This window comes from Homo sapiens, chromosome X (assembly GCF_000001405.40).
Source record: "Homo sapiens chromosome X, GRCh38.p14 Primary Assembly".
NCBI classification, from domain to species: Eukaryota; Metazoa; Chordata; class Mammalia; order Primates; family Hominidae; genus Homo; species Homo sapiens.
Window position 1 is genome coordinate 40,380,431 of NC_000023.11, and position 20,388 is coordinate 40,400,818.

At 46.7% G+C, this 20,388-nt stretch overlaps 1 long non-coding RNA gene across 1 annotated transcript in view; it reads left to right on the top strand.

The window, feature by feature from the left end:
* LOC105373182 (uncharacterized) overlaps window positions 1-19,612 on the top strand; it is an 82,002-nt gene extending 62,390 nt beyond the window's left edge. The window contains exon 3 of the long non-coding RNA XR_001755830.1: window positions 17,865-19,612. This is a non-coding gene — a long non-coding RNA (uncharacterized LOC105373182). The remainder of the gene's footprint in view (window positions 1-17,864) is intronic.
* Window positions 19,613-20,388: the final 776 nt, after the last annotated feature.

The window sequence follows — 20,388 nt, forward strand, 5'->3', positions numbered from 1 at the left end:
ATTCTTGTGAGTCCATAGTGTGGTTTTAAAAATTCACCTGCCCTCTGGGCTTTGAGGTCCTCTAACAACCCAGGAGCAGGCCTTGGATTTTCCAAGGCCTGGGCAGACTTTGTGGCTTCAGATTGTTCTCAACCTCCAGAGGGTTTGAGGACAGGCAGCAGGAGCCCCTGGCCTTGCCCAGAAAGTAGCACAAAGTACGCACCCACACAAGTTACCAGCCGGAAGGGAGACCAGTGGCAGGCAGAAAAGGAAGGGAGGAAGGGAGGGAGGGAGGGAGGAAGGAAGGAAAAGAGGAAGGAAGGAAGGAAAAGAAGGAGGAAGGGAGGGAGAGAGGAAAGGAAGAAGGAAAGGGGCAGAAGCTGGCATGTGGGGGAACCCCAGGCCCCGCCTGGTTCTCTTTTTCTGTATGCAGCCTCAGGTCGCTTCCTTCTGTGGACCTCAATTTCCTCTTCTGCAAAAAGAAGGCCTGGATTAGCTCACTCCCCAGGCCTCTTCTAGCCCTGACAGTGTGATTTTCTAATTTCTTTCAGACTTCAGGGGCCTGCAGACCCCATGCTAATGTGTATGAATAAAACATGGCCATCTGAAAGCTCTGAATATTGCAAGTATTTGCTTTGGATGTGTTCTCCCTTAACTGTGCGAAGCAGCGTCCAGCTGGGGCCCCCGCAGCCTCCTGTTTGGATTGTTCGCGTGTGGCCTGACTCCCTGAGGTGGGGAGGGGTTGGGGGTGGGGGAGGGTCCAGCCTCCCGGGTATGCCTGGGCCCTCCTCCCTCCACCTCTCCCATACCCTGGCCCTGAGGAGGGCTTTGTTCTTAGACCTCAACCCCAAATCCACCTCACCAGTTCCCCTTCGAGGCGGTGCTCCAGGCCCTAATCCCCACTGCACCGAGGACATTTCCCTTGGCCATCTGCCCTGGCACCTTCACACTTCACGTGTCTGTCCGTCCACCCTGGGAGACAGCCTGTCCTCCATTGCAGGGCTGCACCTTCCGGCAGCCGAACGTCTGTCCCCTGGGACTGTAGCCATATCCTATGTATCTTTTGTGGGAGCTCAACAAATGTAGGCTTTTTTTTTCCCTTAATTTTCAGGTTTTTTAAAAAATTATTTTTAAAGAAGTTTTCAGTTTATAGAAAAATGGTACAGAAAGTACAGGGAGTTCCTGTGTCCCCTACCTCAGTTTCTCCTATTATTAATATATTGCATGAGTGACATTGTTGTTTACTAAAGGCCACAGTTTACATTAAGATCTACTCTGGGTGTTGTATGTTCTATGGTTTTTCCAAATGCACTATACTATCATACATAATAGTTTCACTGCCCTAAATATCCCCTGTGATCCACCTATTCATCTCCCTACCTCCCTCCCCACTGAACCCATGGCAACCACTGATCTTTTTGCTGTCTCCCTAGTTTGTTTGTTTGCTTTGTTTAGAGATGGAGTTTCTCTCTTGTCGCCCAGGCTGGAGTGCAATGGCGTGATCTCGGTTCACTACAACCTCCGCCTCTCGGGTTCAAGCAATTCTCCTGCCTCAAACTCCTGTATAGCTGGCATTACAGGCGCCTGCCACCAAGTCCAGCTAATTTTTTGTATTTTTAGTAGAGACAGGGTTTCACCACGTTGGCCAGGCTGGTCTCGAACTCCTGACCTTAGGTAATCCACCCACCTTGGCCTCCCAAAGTGCTGGGATTACAGGCATGAGCCACCGTGCCCAGCCCCTAATTTTGACTTGTCCAGAATGTCATGTAGTTGGAATCATGCAGCATGTAGCCTTTTCAGACTGACTTCTTTCACTCAGTGATATCTTTTTGTGGCTTGATAGCTAATTTATTTTTATTGTATAATAATATTCCACTGTCTGGATGGATCACTCAACAGATAGAATTTTTGATTGATCGATTGGTTGAAAAGACCTAAATTACTAGATGAACAACAATTCTCTAAACACAAAGTCTGTAAGAAATCTAGATTTCAGGACAGTTCTAAGTAATGGATACAGTGTATCTAACACAAAGAAAATCCAATATTCTGATAGTTGAGTTTAGAGGTGATTACTTTTATTACAGAAAAGTTCTTTCCTACATAATTGCATTTAAAATAGAATTCAATTAACAATTTTTTACAACATTTTAGGGATGCATTCACACTGCAAATTATCTATAACCATGCTAGATGTTGCGCAAAGAGGGAGGGTTTTGAGAGTAAAAGGGAGATGCTATTAATAATTATGCCAGACAGGCCAGGCGCAGTGGCTCACACCTGTAGTCCCAGCACTTTGGGTGGCCAATGCGAGCAGATCACTTGAGGTCAAGAGTTTGAGACCAGCCTGGCCAACATGATGAAACCCCGTCTCTACTAAAAATACAAAAATTAGCTGGGTGTGGTGGCACATGCCTATAATCCCAGCCACTCGGGAGGCTGAAGCACGAGAATCGCTTGGACCTGGAAAGCAGAGGTTGCAGCGAGCTGAGCTTGTGCCACTGCACTCCAGCCTGGATGACAGAGTGAGACTCCATCTCAAATAATAATAATAGTAATAATAATAATAATAATGCTAGACAACAAGTATGAACCAGGACTATCCCAGATAGTCTGCCTATTTATAACTGGGATCCATCTTCTTAAAATAGTAGCTGGGGAACATAGAATATTTTTGTGTTTCTCCAAAAATATTAGATGGTGGATCAGTTAAGGTTACACTAGCTGTGGTACCACATATAGTAGCAAATCTCAGTTTATTTCTCAACCACATAAAGTTCAAAATAGGTGTATTGGTGATTGGTGGGGGTGGGGGGTGGGCGGTGGGGTGGGGTTGGCTGGGGAAGTGGGGAGTGCCCTGCTCCAGGCATCCATTCAAGGACCTGGGCTGAGGGAGGCTCTGCCATCTGTCACAGGTGCCTTTCAAATTTGTCTCAGACTGAGGGGTTTCCCAGAGGGCAGACTTTCAGTGTTAAAATTGGGACAGTTCCTGGCAAGTTGGTACAGTTGGTCACCTATTTCCAAGGTTGCCCTAAAGATTGACAGCCAACTGGTGGGGAGGGGAAGAAAGAGAGCGGAGAATAGCATGATGGGGTGAGGAGAGGGTCTATAGGCCAGGCCACTCATCATATCTGCCTGCCTTCTATTGGCCAGAATGCAGTCTCATGGCCACACTTGGCTGCAAGGGAGACTGGGAAACGTAGTCTAGCTCTGTGCCAAAAAGGAAGGGGAAATGGATTGGGTGACGAACCAGCGATCTCTCTAATGGAGGGGAATTAATAATATCTTCTTTGACATGTGTCCTTAGATGAGATGGACGTCTTTGTCCACGGGAATATGTCTGGGATATTCGTCCACTGGAATATGATCTCTTTTGAAACTGAAGTCTCATTTGCCTAGCAGTCAATGGTGTTCAGCTCTGGGTGTCCACGTGTCCTAGGCCTCTGCCAACAGACAGCCTTGAACACTCTGGGCTTCTGGGAAGGTTGGGGATGGGGCATTGTGGAGGTGACAACTGGCAGCCACAGAGACCAACTAAAAGCGAACCAAGTCACATGCAAGGAGAGCAGAGAAGTGCCACATTGGAGGGTCTGCTTGTGCTGCAAATTGAAAACTTGTGGCCTGGGAAGCCACTCCAATGCATTCTGGCACCCACAATGAAAATGTAGCAATGTCATTAGTCTTCAATAGGTCTACTTTTTCCAGGCCAAGATCGTGGGTGAGTCATTTCACACAGCTGAGCGTTTCTGTGGCAGTGAGTGCACTTCACAATCATTAACTCTCATAGCATCCCTGAGAAGTTGGTGAGGGCTGTTAACCCCAGGCTGGGGGAATGCCCCATGCTTCCTTGCACAGGATCTGTCCTCCCCTAGGTACCCTTGATGCAGCCCGAGAGCAGCTCTGGGAGATCGTTTTCAGGTGCTTGATTCTAGGGCCTCAGACAGTTGGTCCAGGCTGTTCCTGCCTTCCCAGGTGAGGGAGCGTTTGTGCCGGAAGTGGAGAAGCAAATGATACTAATTTTCCTCGTATCCTTGCCTGGACACCTCCTGTGAGGATCAAAGTTCAAGGAGTTAGTGTGAGTGTGAGTTGACAAGACCACCCAGGGCAACCCTAGCTGGAAGGACTTGGTGTTTCTGCAGCCTCTACCCAAGGGACCAAAGGGCTTTCTTTTCCGAGGGTGGCCTTGGAACACAGATCTTTCCTTTCTTAACTCTCTTGTTGGGGTCACAGACTCAGTCAGCCACTGCATTTGTTTCTTGTGGCTGCTGCCACAAATTACCACAAACTTGACGGCTCACAGTTTTGGAAGCCGGAAGCCCCAAATCATTGTCACTGAGCTGAAATCAAGGTGGCCATAGGGCCAAGCTACTTCAGGAGGCTCTAGGGGAGAATCCGTTCCTTGCCTCCTCCAGCTCCTGGTGACTGCCAGCCTTCCTTGGTTTATGGCTGCAGCACTCCCTTCTCTGCCTCTGTGGTCACATACATGGCCTTCTTTTCTCCTCTCTATACTCTCCCTCTGCCTTTCTCTTATGAGGGCACTTGTGATGGCATTTAGAGTCTACCCAAATAATCCAGGATAATGCCCTCATCTCAAGACCTTTAACTTAATCACATCTGCAAAGTCTTTTTTATTTTGTCATATAAGGTATCACACGTTCCAGGCATTAGCACATGGACATCATTGATTTTTCTGGGGGGAGATTGGGGTTCTGTTTCGTTTTTGCAGGCGTAACAGGGAGAGGGGCACTACTCAGCCTCCCACAGCTACTGTGGCACAAAATATTTCAAACAGTGGGAGACTCTTTCTGGATATGCATGAGAGGGGGAGGCAACCGGCTGCTCTGTGCCAGATGCTTGTGATCTCATTTAATTATTCCAGAACCCTGTGAGCAGGTATTGTTATTTCCACTCACCAGTGTGAGACCCAGAGAGGTGAAGTGACTTGCTTAAGGAAACACAGTGGGTAAGAGAAGAAGCTGGACTTAAACAGGGCTGCCTGACTCTAGAGCCCATATTCTTTCTACGGAAACAGAGGAAGTTGCACAAGGAATCACTTGGTATGCAGATGAACAAGCACATTTCCACGTCTTGGCCAGATCAACCATATTCCCCGTGCAGGGGTTTCTGGCCTTTTGCCTCTCTCTGGGAGAATCCCTTAGCCACGTGCTAACGCGACCTGACTGCAGGCCCTGAGTGTAGATGCGGCCGACCCAGATGCCAGGGAGGTCCCAGCAGCTCTGTCGCGAGCCCCTTTTCATTGGCATTATCTCTTTTCACAAACCCATTTCTGGTTCCTTTCTTCATCTTCTCCAACTTAGATGAAACTATTGCTACTTTTCATACCCAGTGTTCTGGAACGTTTCTTCCCTTGTTACCACTGTGTGTTTGGTAATTTCCTCATTGACAGGAAAATAGGCAAAAGGCTGTAATACCCAATATAAGTGAGTCAATGTGTGTATAGGGCATACTTCATCACATGAGTAGACACATTTGTGAAACGTATTTACTAGACTGGTGCTTCAGATGTGATGCTGATTGGAGTGAATGATGAAGAGTTTAACTTACTGGTTCCCCTCTGGACTTCCTTTAGAGCAAATCAACTCTTTATGGTTTATTAGCCATACTCAGCTAACTTTTTGTATTTTTTTTTTAAAGACGGATTTTCACCATGTTGCCCAGGCCTTCTCCAACTCTTGAACTCAGCGATCTGCCCGCCTCAACCTCCCAAAGTACTGGGATTACAGGTGTGAGCCACCTCATCTGGCCTATTTTCTTTTAAACCAATGAATAAATAGATCTAAGCCACCTACCACTTCTCTCTCTCTCTTTTTTTTTTTTTTTTTTTGAGGAGAGATGGGAGTGGAAAGGAAAGCTAACTTTTGCATGTTAGCACTTGTGGCCCTATCATCAAATAGATTACCACTTGCTAGAGCATACTGATAGTTAAGAGCTACATGTGCACACAGGCATGCACATATGCATACAATTTAGCTGACTAGAAGATCCTATTCAGCACACTTTTGGGCTTCTCAAACCCTATTTTAGACAGGTTTTGAGGTTGTTTGCAGGCTAGGCTGCAACAACAAATAAACCCTTAACATCTTAGTGGCTGAACACAATAATAACTGATTTCTTGCTCATAAAGTGTGATGCAGGTTGCTAGGGCTCTTCTCTTTCCAGTAACTCAAGGATCCAGGCTCCCTTCAGTTGAGGATGCCATCATTTTAATGCAAGCCCTTCATGTTTGCCACTTTAGGGATAGCAAAAGATTGAAGACAGTACACTGGTTCTTTTTATTTATTTATTTTTTTGTGTGTGTGAGATGTAGTCTCGCTCTGTTGCCAGGCTGGAGTGCTGTGGTGCAATCTCTGCTTAGTACACTGGTTCTTAAATGCTTTGGCCTGCTACTCACATTTCATTGGATAGAGCCAGTCATATGGTCTCACCTACCTGCAAGAGTCCTGGAAAGTGTGGCGTTCTCATGTACTCAGAAAAAAAGAGAGCTGAATATAGGCACAGTCAATTCACATTATTCACGGTAGTTATGGTCCATAAAGTCTCAGTGAATACTGAATTAACTAATATGGAACCATTGCTCCTAAGGGCTGTATAGGGTTAAGTTCCTACAAGCCTCTGATCACATTATAATCAGCCAATCAATACATAATCTTGTTTTATGTGTGTTTCTGTTTAAAGACATCTTAATTAATACATAGATGGTTCATTAACATTGAACATAACAGCACTATAACTCATGCCTTAATGAATTACATGTATATATCATGTATTTTCTCTGTAAGGCATATCACAGTCCCGTTGCACCTAGGAACACTAGACAGCCCTTCAATACTACACTTGGGGGCCATTTTAAACAGTGAAATCACCAGGAAATAGGACAAAAATGTGAAAAAGGGGGCATTAGGTAGGTCTCAAAAAGGCCATGTTTATGGTATGGGAGTTGTAGTGAATTTTTATAATATGTTGTCTCAGCATCATTTTGAATATATTGGACTTTCTCATACCAGAAGCAGGGCTTAGTCACCCTTGACACAGTTTCCTGTTCTCCATCTCCTTCCTGTTCCTCAATGTGGTCGATCCAGATATCTACCTTATACAGTCACCTGCTGGTGACCACCTCCCTACGGGACAGCTAGATACAACCTACTTGACTGGCCCCACTGACACCCCACACTCTACATGGGCCGCACGGATCTGCCACAGCGACCCCTTCTCAGTCACAGCGTGCCTCCATGGAACTCCTGCCTGCTGGCTTTCAACCCACTGATGAGAACTCCCCACGGGAAAGCGGCCTGGGAATGCCTGGACCCCGATAAAGGCCTAGGCCCACAGGTCCCTCACTCTCTATCTTGCTCCCCACCTGCTGGCTAAGCATGGATGGCCCAGAGGGTTCCTTCCTTCTTGCTGGCCCTGAGAGGAATCTGTAAAGAAGATGCTGCCTCTGGTATTTTGCGCGTTCTGTGGAGCTGCCTCTCTGTGTCTCACCCCACCCACACACCCGGACCTAACTTCTTTCCCGGTTGGCGTTCTCCTAGAGAGTGGCTCTCTTGGCAGGAATAGACTCGACACAGGTCAGACAAGAGCCACAAGGGCGCCTGCGACTATAAACAACTTTCCTGTGAGAGGGACACCTGGTCATGGTTTGGACACTTAAGAATTAGGCTGTCTGCCAAGATAAAGAAGTGTCCTGTGAAAAGCACACTGTAAACATCCACGACCAAATTCCCTGGAACCCTGTTAAGGCAGACTGAGAGTTTATAGCCACTCTCATGAGACAGACCTTAAGACCAAATTAGAAAAAAATACAAGAGCTGAAACAAGAAAGCAGAGTGTCACCTTGTTTGACCGTGTTCCTCGGTGAGCAGGTATATGCAAATCTATCCCCAAAGGCCAGGGGAGCTGAGAGACCGAAAAAAGAGGCTGACAAATCCAGTTTCTCAGAAAGAAACATTTAATAGGGACTTACAAACAGAAGTGATGTCTCAGGTGGTCATGAGACAGTAGATCGCCGCACCCACCCTCCGGAAAATATCCTGTATTTAGCAAGCTTTTATGGCAAAATGTGTAGCTGGTCACACCTCAGACTTTCTTGTGAGACTTGTGACTACTGGGTTATATACGCATCTTTATGGGATGTTATCTATGCTACGGAAACACCTTGGTATGCAGGAGTCAACATCTGTCAACATGACGGTTTTGCTTCAAGATGGTGCCACACCTGCCATGCCACAGGCTGTTTACCTATAGACCTCAGCTGGGAATATGCACATTGGGTGACTTAAACTTGTTGCCACTCTGCATGTGTCCACAAATGACCACAAAAGCGTCTTAAGTAATCAGTTTGGGGTTACATATAAATTTTAGTAAGTAGAATTTGCAAATATCAAACACATGACTATGAGGACTTACTATATATTAGTTATCTATTGCTGTAGTATAAGCCATGCCAATACTTAGTGGCTTAAAACACCAACATATATTTTTTTCGGGGCTCTACAATTGCACAGGGCTCAGCAGGGTCAGCTCATCTCTGCTCCACTTGGCGTCAACTGGGGCATCTCAAAGGCTGGAGGTTGAAATCATCCAAGGCTAGCTCACTCACATATCTACCTCCTGGCCTGGGAAGACCCAAGTGGCTGGAGGCTGGAGGATGGTACAACTGGAGCCCTTCAGGCATTTACCTCTATGTAGTCACTCTGTGTGGTCTCTTCAGCATGGAGCTTTCGGGGAAGCCAGGCTCAGGGCTCCCAAAAAAGCCTGTGTCCTGAGAGAGAGCCAGATTGAAGCTGTGTCTCCTTTTATGGCCTGACCTTGGGAATCACACAGAGTCACTTCTGCCATACTTCATTAATTGAGGCAGTCACAAAGTTGCATCCAGGTTCCTGGAGTGATGACATAAACTCTATATGTTGATTGGGGAGTGTCAAGGTCATATTATATGAAGAATACATGAGATGGGAGATAGTGTTGAAGCATTTAGGAAAATAAAATCTGCCACAATGGGTGGGTATTTTTATAATAAACTACCACCATCAGTCCTCTGGCTTACAAATATTTGGTTCATTTTTTTTTATTCTTCTTTCCCCTAAAATAACATGCTCATCCCATTCCCAAGAAATTTAACCCAAAGTCTTATCCAGCAACTACATCCCAGCTCAAAGGTCAGGATCTCTGGGCATTGTAGTATCCACATAGGGCTTTCAACAATTTCTTTTACCTTTGTGCATGTGTGCTACTCCACCCGGCCAGAGGTGAAGTCTATTTCCTCTCCCCTTGAATCCAGGCTGGCCTTCTGACTCACTTTGGCCAGTAGTATATTGCAGAAGTGATGCCATGTCAGTTCTAGGCCTAGACCTTAAGAAGGGCTGGAGTTTCGGCCTTTGTACTCTGAGAAGCCAGGGCATGCCATAAGGAAACTAAGCTTAGGCTACTGAAGGATGACCTGCCATGTGGAGACAGAAGCCATGTGGAAGAGGATCAGACATGTGAGTGAAGTTTTCCTGGCCTAGTCACTAGCTAAATGTGGCTGCGCAAATGATTCCAGCCGATGGCAGGTAGAGCAGAAGATCCACTCAGCTAAGCCCTGCTTGAATTCCTGACCCAGGGAATTGTGAGAAATTATAAATCTTTGTTGTCTAAGCTAAGTTTTAGGGCATTTTCTTACCCCCTATAGACCCTTAAACATTGGATGATGCATAATAGTCCTACCTTCAGGTCTAGATGTTGCTTCTTCTAGTCTGGCAACCTATGAACCAAACAAAACAAGTTATCAGCACCCTACACCTTCAGCCTCAATCCAATGGTGGAGCAGGGGCAGGATACCACAGCAAACGCTAGCGTTCTGAAAGGGGAGGGATGGGAGACATACAGCAGTCACTAGTCCATAGTCATTCTCAGATCCTACTGTGAAGGCCTCATGCCCTGACGGTGAAGAAGATTTCTTTTTTCTTTTTATTTTTTTGAGACAGGATCTAGCTCTGTTGCCCAGGCTGGAGTGCAGTGGCACTATCATAGCTCACTGCAGCCTTCATCTCCTGGGCTCAAGTGATCCTCTTACCTTAGCCTCCCAAGAAGCTGGAACCACAGTCACGTGTTACCAAACCTGGCTAATTTTTTTTTTTTTTTAAGTAGAGAGAAGGTCTTGCTATGTTACCCAGGCTGGTCTTGAACTCCTAGGCTCAAGCAATCCACTTACCTCGGCATCCCAAAATGCTGAGATTACAGGCGTAAGCCACCACACCCAGCTAAGATTTCCTTATTAGACCCCAAGTTTTCTCCTGGAGGAGTTTCTTTGTTCATTTTCTCCCCAAGTCATGGCTCTGCCCTCTAGTTCTTTTTTCCTATAATATTTTTTGGCTATATCTAAATGGATACTGAGGAAATCCCTCCTTGAGGGTCATAGAACTTTCTTAGTCTACTTTTTGAACATGGTGGGAGCCCAAGGATTATTTTATCTTCATAGCTGACTCAAGAAAGACTTTTTTTTGAGGTCTAGGCTCAAGGTTTCTTTGGCTATACAATTCCCCTAAAAATGTAATGGGCCATTGATGTATTTGCTTATAGTCACTTCCACATGCCAAAGACCACATCCAAAGTTCTTTTCAAGATATAGTTTTCATATCTGCTATATGTCTTTGCTTTCTCATCCGTATACCTTGCCCCCTGCATTTAATCAAAGTTACCTTTAGGCTTCTGGAAATTTGGGGGAAGGCCATACCCTTAGTCTAATCTTTACCTTAAGTCATTTTTGCCACTCAAAGGTTTTCCCATCACTTACTATTTGCAAGTGGAAGCTTGACTGAATTTTTGTCACTGTGTAACATGGATCACTATTTTACCAACCTTTTTTTTTTCTTTTTTTGAGATGGAGTCTCCCTCTGTCGTTGCCCAGGTTGGGGTGCAGTGGCATGATCTCCGCTCACTGCAACCTCTGCCTCCCGAGTTCAAGCGATTCTCCTGCCTCAGCCTCCCTAGTAGCTGAGACTAGAGGCTCCCGCCACCACACCCTGCAATTTTTTTTTTTTTTTTTTTAAGTAGAGACAGGCTTTCACCATGTTGGTCAGGCTGGTCTCAAACTCCTGGCCTCAAATGATCTGCCCACCTCGGTCTCCCAAAGTGCTGGGATTACAGGCGTGAGTTACTGTGCCTGGCCATCTGGCAGCAATTTTTGTATTAGCCTGGGTAGGATAGACTATGCTGCAGAAACAAATTAGCCCCCACTGATGAGTTGGGCCACTCCTCAGGGCAGCACTCAGCCACTAGGTGAATCTGGGATCCCAGGTGCATCTATCTTACCATCTTAATACATAGCCTCTATGGTTGCTGCTGAAGGTGACAGTACAGTGGGAAGGTTGCACAAGATGTTTTTAATGGCAAGGCCTGGGAGGAGTGCTTTATATTATTTCAACTTACTTCCCATTGGCCAGAATCCAATCACATGACCTCAGTCTAACTCCAAGGGAGGCCGGGAAAGGTAGTCTTTCTGTGACCCCCAGAAAGAAGAAAATGAAACAGGATTTGGTGAACACACAGGTTATTTCTTTCACACACCCTTTTCAAAGCTCTCCATTCTCGTTCATCTGTCCCTGTCAAGTGCCTAATGCGCCCTCACTTATCCCCTACATCAGCAGACCTCTTCAGACTTCATTTGCACTAAGGAATATAAATGACTGATAATAATCTAAAACGTGACCCTTAGAGATAGTTGCATGCAAAAGCAAATGCAAGGTTTTGGCTAGCAGGTTAATGCAGTGACAGAATTTTAGGCAGGAGCAGACAAATAGGGAAAATATTTGGGTATTCCTGAAATGACTGACTGGGCAGGTCCTATGTGTCATCGTTTGTGCCATTTTGCCACTGCCTGGGGACCATTTGTGTGAGACACTTTGGAGTCAAGAGATATCAAACTAACAGTATGAGTGGCCATGCTATTAGATACGACCAGAACATTACAGCATGATTTTCATCTGGCTGTCTAGAGGTATTGATGTGAAGTGGGGATAAATTATTGTCTACTCCAGGAAATCAGCTTTCAAATCGTCCATCTCCCAGCCTTTACTCCCTCCCTCCCCACTACAGATGAAAGAAGCTTAATCCAGAGTGGGTTTGTCATGGGCCTGGAGAGGGAGTTGGAGTTTTCCCTGAGGTTCTGAGAAGACTGGAGTCTCTTGAGTTTCTCACTGTCAGACTCTGGCTCATCCATGGCTGTCTTTGCTCTTCCTGTCCCTAGTCCAAGGAGAAAGAACAGAGAGCTTATTATGACCACCTCTTTCATTTGCTGCACTCATCCCCTAACACATACTCCAGCCCTGTGATGCCTGTGTGCTGTGGCCACTAGTTAAGCTAGAACTACATTTCCCAGAATTCAGTTCTCTGCATGGTTCCAAGTTAGAGTTGGCCACAGGAGACATTTGTGTGAGATTTGGAAGGCAGAGGTGAAGCAGCGGCCACTGTCACACTCTGCAGCTCTGTGTGAGCCAGGCGCTGTTGCAGCTCAGATGTGTTGTTGCTGATCTCCTGGCTCTCCTTTTTGGCCTGGGGAATCAGCCAGGCCTGTAGCATCAGCCAGGCCTGTAGCTGCAACAGCTCTTTTTGGATCTTCTTCAGCATCTCCAGATTCTGGGTGCATGTGCAGTAATTGCAAAGGATGCCAGCTTTTCTTGCAGGTTACCCATACCATCAAGGTTGGAGATGGTCAAATGTGGATTCCAGCTGTCACATGGGTTCCAGTTTGTCTTTGCACCTGTCTACATACGTTCATGGTAGGCGGCCCAGGTGGCTGAGGCTGCAGTGAGCCATGATCATACCACTGCACTCCGGCCTGGGTGACAGAGTAAAACCCCGTCTCATCTTAAAAAAAAAAAAGACACTGTGGTTTCTGTCTTGGTCTCATTCTCTCCCTCTCTCTTTTCTCTGAGATCACTTGATGTGGGGAAAACCAGCTCCTATATCAGGAGGAGCCCTATGGAAAGGCCCATGTGGTGAGAAACTGAGGCCTTTGGCCAATAGCCAGCAAGGAACTGAAACCTCCTGTCAATAGCTATGTGAGGAAGCCATCTTGGAAGCAGACCCTCCCGCCCCAGTCAAACCTGCAGATAACCACAGGCCCCAGCTGGCACTTTGACTGGAACCTCATGAGAAAGCCTGAGTCAGAACCATCCAGCCAGGTTGCTCCTGGATTCCTGACCCACAGATGCTATGTGAGATAATAAATGTTCATTGTGTCAAGTTGAAAAATTTGGGGGTAATTTGTTACACAGCAGTAGGTAGCTACAACTGTGTCCATCCTTTCATCTCAACTGCTGTTCCTGCTTCAAGTCCACCATCAGACACAGGTTAGCATTCTTACATAGGTGGCTTCACCAGCTCCCACAATTGTGTCAGGCCCAATTCCACAATAAATCCCTTATTCTGCATCCCTCACAGTGGTCCTTCTTCCCTGATCAAACCCTATCTAATACCACAAGGAGCAAAGGGGAGAGAGACCCCAGTCCTTTCATCATTGGTTTCTCCTGAAGCAGAGGTTCTCAGCCTTTCATCAGAACCACCCAGGGAGCTTTAAAGAAAATACTATGCCTGGAGGCCAGGCGCGGTGGCTCACGCCTGTAATCCCAGCACTTTGGGAGGCTGAAGGGGGCGGATCACGAGGTCAGGAGATCGAGACCCTCCTGGCTAACACGGTGAAACTCCATCTCTACTAAAAATACAAAAAATTAGCCAGGCGTGGTGGCGGGCGCCTGTAGTCCCAGCTACTCAGGAAGCTGAGGCAGGAGAATGGCGTGAACCTGGGAGGTGGAGGTTGCAGTGAGCCGAGATTGCACCACTGCACTCCAGCCTGGGCAACAAAGCGAGACTCCACCTCAAAAAAAAAAGAAGGAAGGAAGGAAAGAGAGAGAAAGAAAGAGAGAGAAGAGAGAGAGAAAGAAAGAAAGAAAATACTATGCCTGGGTCCCACCTTCAGAAGTTCCGATTTAATTGGTCTGCCGTGTGGCCTGGGCAATGTGATCTCTTATAGCTCCCAGGTACTTTAAATGCACCGGCAGAGTTGAGAGCCACTGATCTACAGTCTGGCTGACTCAACTGGTCCTTCCAGGTTCCTACCTTCCCCGGCCTTCTTTGTGCTGGGATATGGGCACCAATCCAGGCTCCCATGGCAACTTTGCATCAGGAGCTCTTGACACCCAGAAGTAGGGGCCACATGGGATCTTCTCATTGGTGGTGGTAGCATCAGCAAGACGGAGTTCCCAGGGCAGCACATTGTGGCAATGGCCACTAGGGTCCATTTCTGGTTATTTAACTCCATTACTTCTGCCATCAATGCTATGAAATTTACCCAGTATCCTCTTAAGTATATATATTTTTCCTGCTTAGATCAGGGGACCCTGAAGATCTATTCCAATGCTGAGAGTCTGGATCTGAGAACCAAATCTCACATCAACTCCCAGAGTGATCTCAAGGGTCTCTAGCCCCTCATGGACCTCAGTTTCCTCATCTGTCAAGAAAAGGGCTGTGTTAGATGAGCTTCAGACCCCTTGTCTTGCCTTAGATTGTCTGAAAACAGGCTCTGAGATGGAGATTTCTGAGCGAGTGGTTTCTGGGGGTGTGCCTTTAGGTCAACACCTATAAGACAATGAGAGAAGCAAGGTTGGGCAGAGAAGGAGTTGAGCTGTGATGCAGTCATAACAGAAGGTCTCCCATGATTCCCTGGGAACCGTTGAACCAGAGATGTCCCCAGTTGAGGCAAGGGGGCCGGTTCTTTGTACCCCCAATAGGTCAATCATTGAATGTGGTCTGCCCCCAGGGAGGGGCTGTGACCTTGTGTGAGGCAGCTTTCCTGGACTGCAGGCAATTCCTGGAGAGAGACACAGCTGAGAGCTGTCAGCAGCCAACACCCAGGCAGCTGAAGGAAGAAGTTCCTCAGTCTTGAAGAGGGGTGTTTTCTGGTATTTTGTCTTGTGGCAAAATACCATAAACTGGGCAGCTCATAGACAACAGAAATTTAGTTTTCAAAGTTCCAGGGGCTGGAAAGCCCAAGATCAAGGCACTGTCAGATTCAGTATCTGGTGAGGGCCCACTTCCTGGTTGATAGAGAGCCATCTTCTCACTGTGACCTCACACGGCAGAGGGATGACAGTGCGCTCAGGGGCCTCTTTTATAAGGCCAGTAATATCATTCATGAGGGCTCCACTCTCAGAACCTACTCATCTCCCAAAGGCCCCACCTCCTAATACCATCACATTGGAGGTTAGAATTTCAACATATAAATTTTGGGAGACACAAATATTCAGTTCATAGCAAAGGGGATCTGAGCAATGAACTTCAGCGGGACTGTACCCTTTTGCTTCAAAGACTCTGTAGTTATAGCTTCAGCTGTAGGGCTATCTGTAGAGAAAGGGGTGAATTTCTTACTCTCTTTGGCTAGACATGGCATCAGACACCCCGGGAGAGTAGCTGGAAGGTTCTGGGAGACCAAGAGCTTGATTAAAGCCTAACAACTCTCCTTAAAACAGCCCTCATCATTAGCAGAGAGAGAGCCATAGGGAGGAGTCTTTACCTCTCCAAAGAGCTTGGGGGAAAATTAAAAGCCACTCCTGGAGGAAGGTGTGGCTTCCAGAAGGAAAGTCTCCCAGGTATAACACTCAACTCCCCAGAGCATGGAAGATGACGGAGCTGCAAGGGACTATGGTCGCCATGGTAATGGTATCTCAGATTCCAACTGAATGTGAGCTCCTGGCTGGGCTGTCAATCACATAGCATCTGCATTTACAGTGGGAACCAGACCCAGCACTGGTCAGGGGTGGAGAGGAGAAGAGACCACTCTGGTGCATGCACACAGCAGGCTCATGAAAGCATTTGTGCTCAGGTGGGTGTCTTTGCTTATATGATTCTTTATAAAGGCATTTGTGCACATGCTTGTGGTCCTAAGCATGCACAGGCTTGGTTTTCCTAAGCATGGAAAACCAAGTCCAATGTATGTGTGTGTTGGTGCTGGGGATGGGGGTCTGAATGCCGGACCCACTGCCCATGGATGTCAGGCAGAGAAGATTACTCCATTTAAGAGGCATGATTTTAGGGCCTCTTCACCCTTCTTCAAAATGTCAACAACTGCCATTGTCCATTCATCATTAGAAAGTCATTTCTTTGGATAAATTTTCTACCTTCAGTGGACTATTTTAAAATGCAAATAGTTGGCTGGGCACAGTGGTTCACACTTGTAATCCCAGCACTTTGGGAGGCTGAGGTGGGCTGATCACCTGAAGTCAAGAGTTCAACACCAGCCAACAGGGTGAAACCCCGTCTCTACTAAAAATACAAAAAATTATCTGGGCATGGTGGCATGCACCTGTAATCTCAGCTACTTGGGAGGCTGAGGCATGACAATCGCTTGAACCTGGGAGGTGGAGGTTGCAGTGAGCTGAGATCACACCACTGCACTCCAGCCTGGGCAACAGAGCGAGACTCTGTCTCAAAAAGAAAAAAAAATGCAAATAAGTGTCAATTACCAATCGACCAAGAATGGATGGGCATCCCCAAAAGATAGGTAAAGAGACACAGAGGAGAGCTGGACCTGCCATGAGAGGGGAGGGCCCTAGCTTAGTGCCTCTCGTATAGTAGCTGCTCAGCATATTGGTATGGACTTATGAATGCGTAAGTATATGAATAAATAGAGAGCTATGGTAGGGGAAGTGCAACCATGAGAGAGAATATTCTGATGGGCAAGTGGAAGGGTTCCTGGGATCAGTTTCAAGTCAATTCAATTCAATGTATTGCATAGCTTCCCTGTTACCAGGTATTGGGTTGGGGTGTAGTGGTGAACAGGGCAGATTGGGTCATGGTCTCTGGAAGCTCAAAGTCCTTTGGGAGTGTGGGTTTATCTTAGTTTGTTTAGGCTGCTATAACAGGATACAATGAATTTGGAAGCTAAAAACAGCAGAAATTTATTTCTTATGGTTCTGGAGGCTGGGAAGTCCAAGATCAAGGTGTCAGCAGGTTTGGTGTTTGGTGAGGGCCTGCTTCCTAGTTCATAGATGGCTGCCTTCTCTCTGTGTCTTTACAAGGCAGAAGGGGTGAGGAGCTCCCTAGGATCTCTTTTATGAGGGCACTAATCCCACTCATGAGGGCTCCACTATTGTGACCTGATCAGCGCCCAAAGGCCCCACCTGCTAATACCATCACATTGAGGGTCAGGATTTCAACAGATGAATTTTGGGGGGACATAAACATCCAGTCTAGCAGGGGTCCTTTGTGGGTTTCCTTGGTGCTGAGCTGAGAGTGCAATTCTTTAGAGATGCTGGGACTCAGCCCAGTCAGGGCTTCTGAAACGTTTGCTGACTTTAGCTAACTGGGCCACCCCAGCCAACCATGAGCCACAGAACCAGGCAAGCTCACTCCAGGGAGAGCAGAGCCCATCTCACTCTTCCTTGATATAAGCTCAGACTGTGGCCTATTGGTCCAGGGCCTTAGTGCTCAAGAGGCATTTGCAAGGGTCTGTGCTCCCATTCCCTGCTTACCCTCTTCTGTCTGCTTCTGATTGCTCGGTCAGGATCTGACATCCTCCCTGGACATTGGTAGGCACTCCTGTCATCTTCTGCTCACTCAGGGCTCCAATCCTCTTCTCTCCTGGGGCCTACTTTTCCACTCAGCCCCATCATCTGTTGGGAAAAGGACCTCTGGATTCTGTGCCTGAGCCTTCTTACTCTGAATTTAGAGGAGACTTGCCCTTCCTAGACTATAATCAGCTCTATTCACTCTAAATCTTCTGCCAAATGGATTAAGGATAGAGAAGGGTGAATTGGCAGGAGGGGGGTTGGGGCAGCCTCCCTTGGCTTAATCTCAAGTTATTAACTTTTCTACTCCATTCTTCTCAGATTCCCACCCATTTCCAGACTCCTTGGAAGTTAAATTCAAGTCAACAGCTGCCAAAGAACTTTCCGTGAGTCGAGGACACTACCAAGCATGGAAGGATTAGAGAGAAGTCCAACCAAGCCCATGACACTTGCCTGGAGGCCACTTCTGTACCAATCATCTCTGTTAGTGACACATCTTCTTTCTTTGGTTTTTGACCTGTCAAGGCCAATCCTCAGAGAATCCTAATGGCTGGAGAATGTACTGGGTTTCTGAAAGACAAGAGTTGGGCTCCAACCAAAGATGAATTGGCTCAACCTGTGGGAGCCATGAACTAGCTTGACGTGAAGCTTCGGGTCAGTGAGGATTGTCTACAGGAGGACTTTGTGACAAGTACACTATTTACCAAGGTAGTGAGGGGAGTGTACAGTCTCCCTGAAGGTTGCCAAGAATTTTAGGTTGTTTCCCAATCTGCAGGCACTGGTGTGTTGTCCCCCAGCTCTGGTCAGCATGTGGCTTCTGCCCAGCAGCTTTAATGTTGTTACATACTGCATATCCCCCGTGCCTTTTGCAAAATGGCTAGCAAGAACACATCCCTGTCTTTCCTCTGTCTGTGGTGAAGCAGAAGTTGGCTGCCATCTACCTCTACCATGTGAACTCATGCTGGTCCTACCACTGATGCTAAGAGAAGTGCTTTGCCCACAGGTAAACAATTCAGAAAGGAGCCAGCCTTTATTGGTTGTAAAATAAAAAATCCTGAATTGCCTTGCCACAAAAATCTGACTAGTATAGAATTAATAAAGTCAGATGATCACAGACTATGAAAGTTCTCAGAGACTTAGAAATCCTCTAACGTAGTCTTACTCTACCACCAAGAATCAGACCAGGGAGATCAAGACCTATGGATATAGGAAAGGCAGAATTTTGGAGCTCCAGTGGCACAATTGGTTATATAGGAAAGGCAGAATTTTTAGGAAGCACTGTGGAAGGGGGAAAATATTTCTGATCCTTTTGTACAACCCTCCTTCCCCAATCCTTCCCCCACTCATCATGCCTTTCCTGGTGCCCAGCAACAAAGGTGTAACATTATCACAGTGAGGAATAGTTTTTGCAGTGCTTTCACAAACATCATCTCATTCCCCTCCCCAAGCACATTGTGAGGTCTGTGCAGTGGGCATTATGAGTCCCATTATACAGATGAGGTTACCCACCAAGGCTCAGAGAGCTTAAAAGACTTTGCTCCAGAGTCGATGCATGTTTCAGTTAGGATTATGCACAGACACTCAAAATAGCTGTGGTTAAAACAACATAAGAGTTTATTTTTCTTTCCCATTGGAGACTGGGGGTAAGCTCTGCTCCACAAAGTTATAGGGACCAAGGATCCATCCATTGCTCTGCCATTACTAGGATGTGGTCCTTGCCTTCATGATCCAAGATAGCAGCTAGAACTCCAGCCATCACATTTTCATTCCAGGCAGCATAATGAAAGAATGGGTGGATGATAAAAAGAGGGAAGAAAAGCCTGCCCTTTCCCTTTAAGGACACTTGCTGAAAGTTGCACTCACCATTTCTACCCTGCCTCCAGAATTTAGTCACATGGCCACACCTAATTGCAAGGAAGGCTAGGAAATATGGTCTTTATTCCAGATGATCATGTGCCCAAGTAAAAATTCGAGGCTCCATTTCTGTGAAAAGAGGGACACCATATATTGGGAAAAACTAGTCATTTCTGCTACAGTGATTTTGCCATCGAGGGAGGAATCAGCTTTTAAATCTAGTTTATCTTTTCTTTCTTTTCTCTTCTTTTTTTTTTTTTTTTATAGAGACAGGGTCTCACTATGTTGCCCAGGCTGGTCTTGAACTGGCGTCAACCAATCCTCCTGCCTCAGCCTCCCAAAGTGCTGAGACTATAGGCGTGAGCCACCGCACCCAGCCTAAATCTAGTTTTTCTGACTCCAAATCCTCCCTTCTTTACCCTCCATGTCATGTGTGTCATGTGGCATTTCTTTTTTCTTTTTTTTTTTTTTTTTGAGACGGAGTCTCTCTCTGTCGCCCAGGCTGGAGTGGAGTGGCGCCATCTTGGCTCACTGCAAGCTCCACCTCCCGGGTTCACACCATTCTCCTGCCTCAGCCTCCTGAGTAGCTGGGACTACAGGCGCCCGCCACCACGCCCGGCTAATTTTTTGTATTTTTAGTAGAGATGGGGTTTCACCATGCTAGCCAGGATGGTCTCAATCTCCTGACCTCGTGAGCTGCCCACCTTAGCCTTCATGTGGCATTTCTTATGTATAATTTGATTCACAGAAGTATAGAATTTTGTCACTGGGAAGGACTTTGGGAGTTCTCCTGTCATCTGCTGGTTGGATGCCTGAATTAGCTCTAAAACCTACTAGACTAATGCCCATTGCCTTTCTCAAACATCTTGTAGGCCAGCCCATTTGGAAGCAGCTCCAGCTGTTAACAAAGATCTTTCTGTGACTGGTCCCAAACCAGCTTCCCTGGCCTCTCTGACCATTGGTCCTCACCGTGTCTTTTAGTACCTCTCAG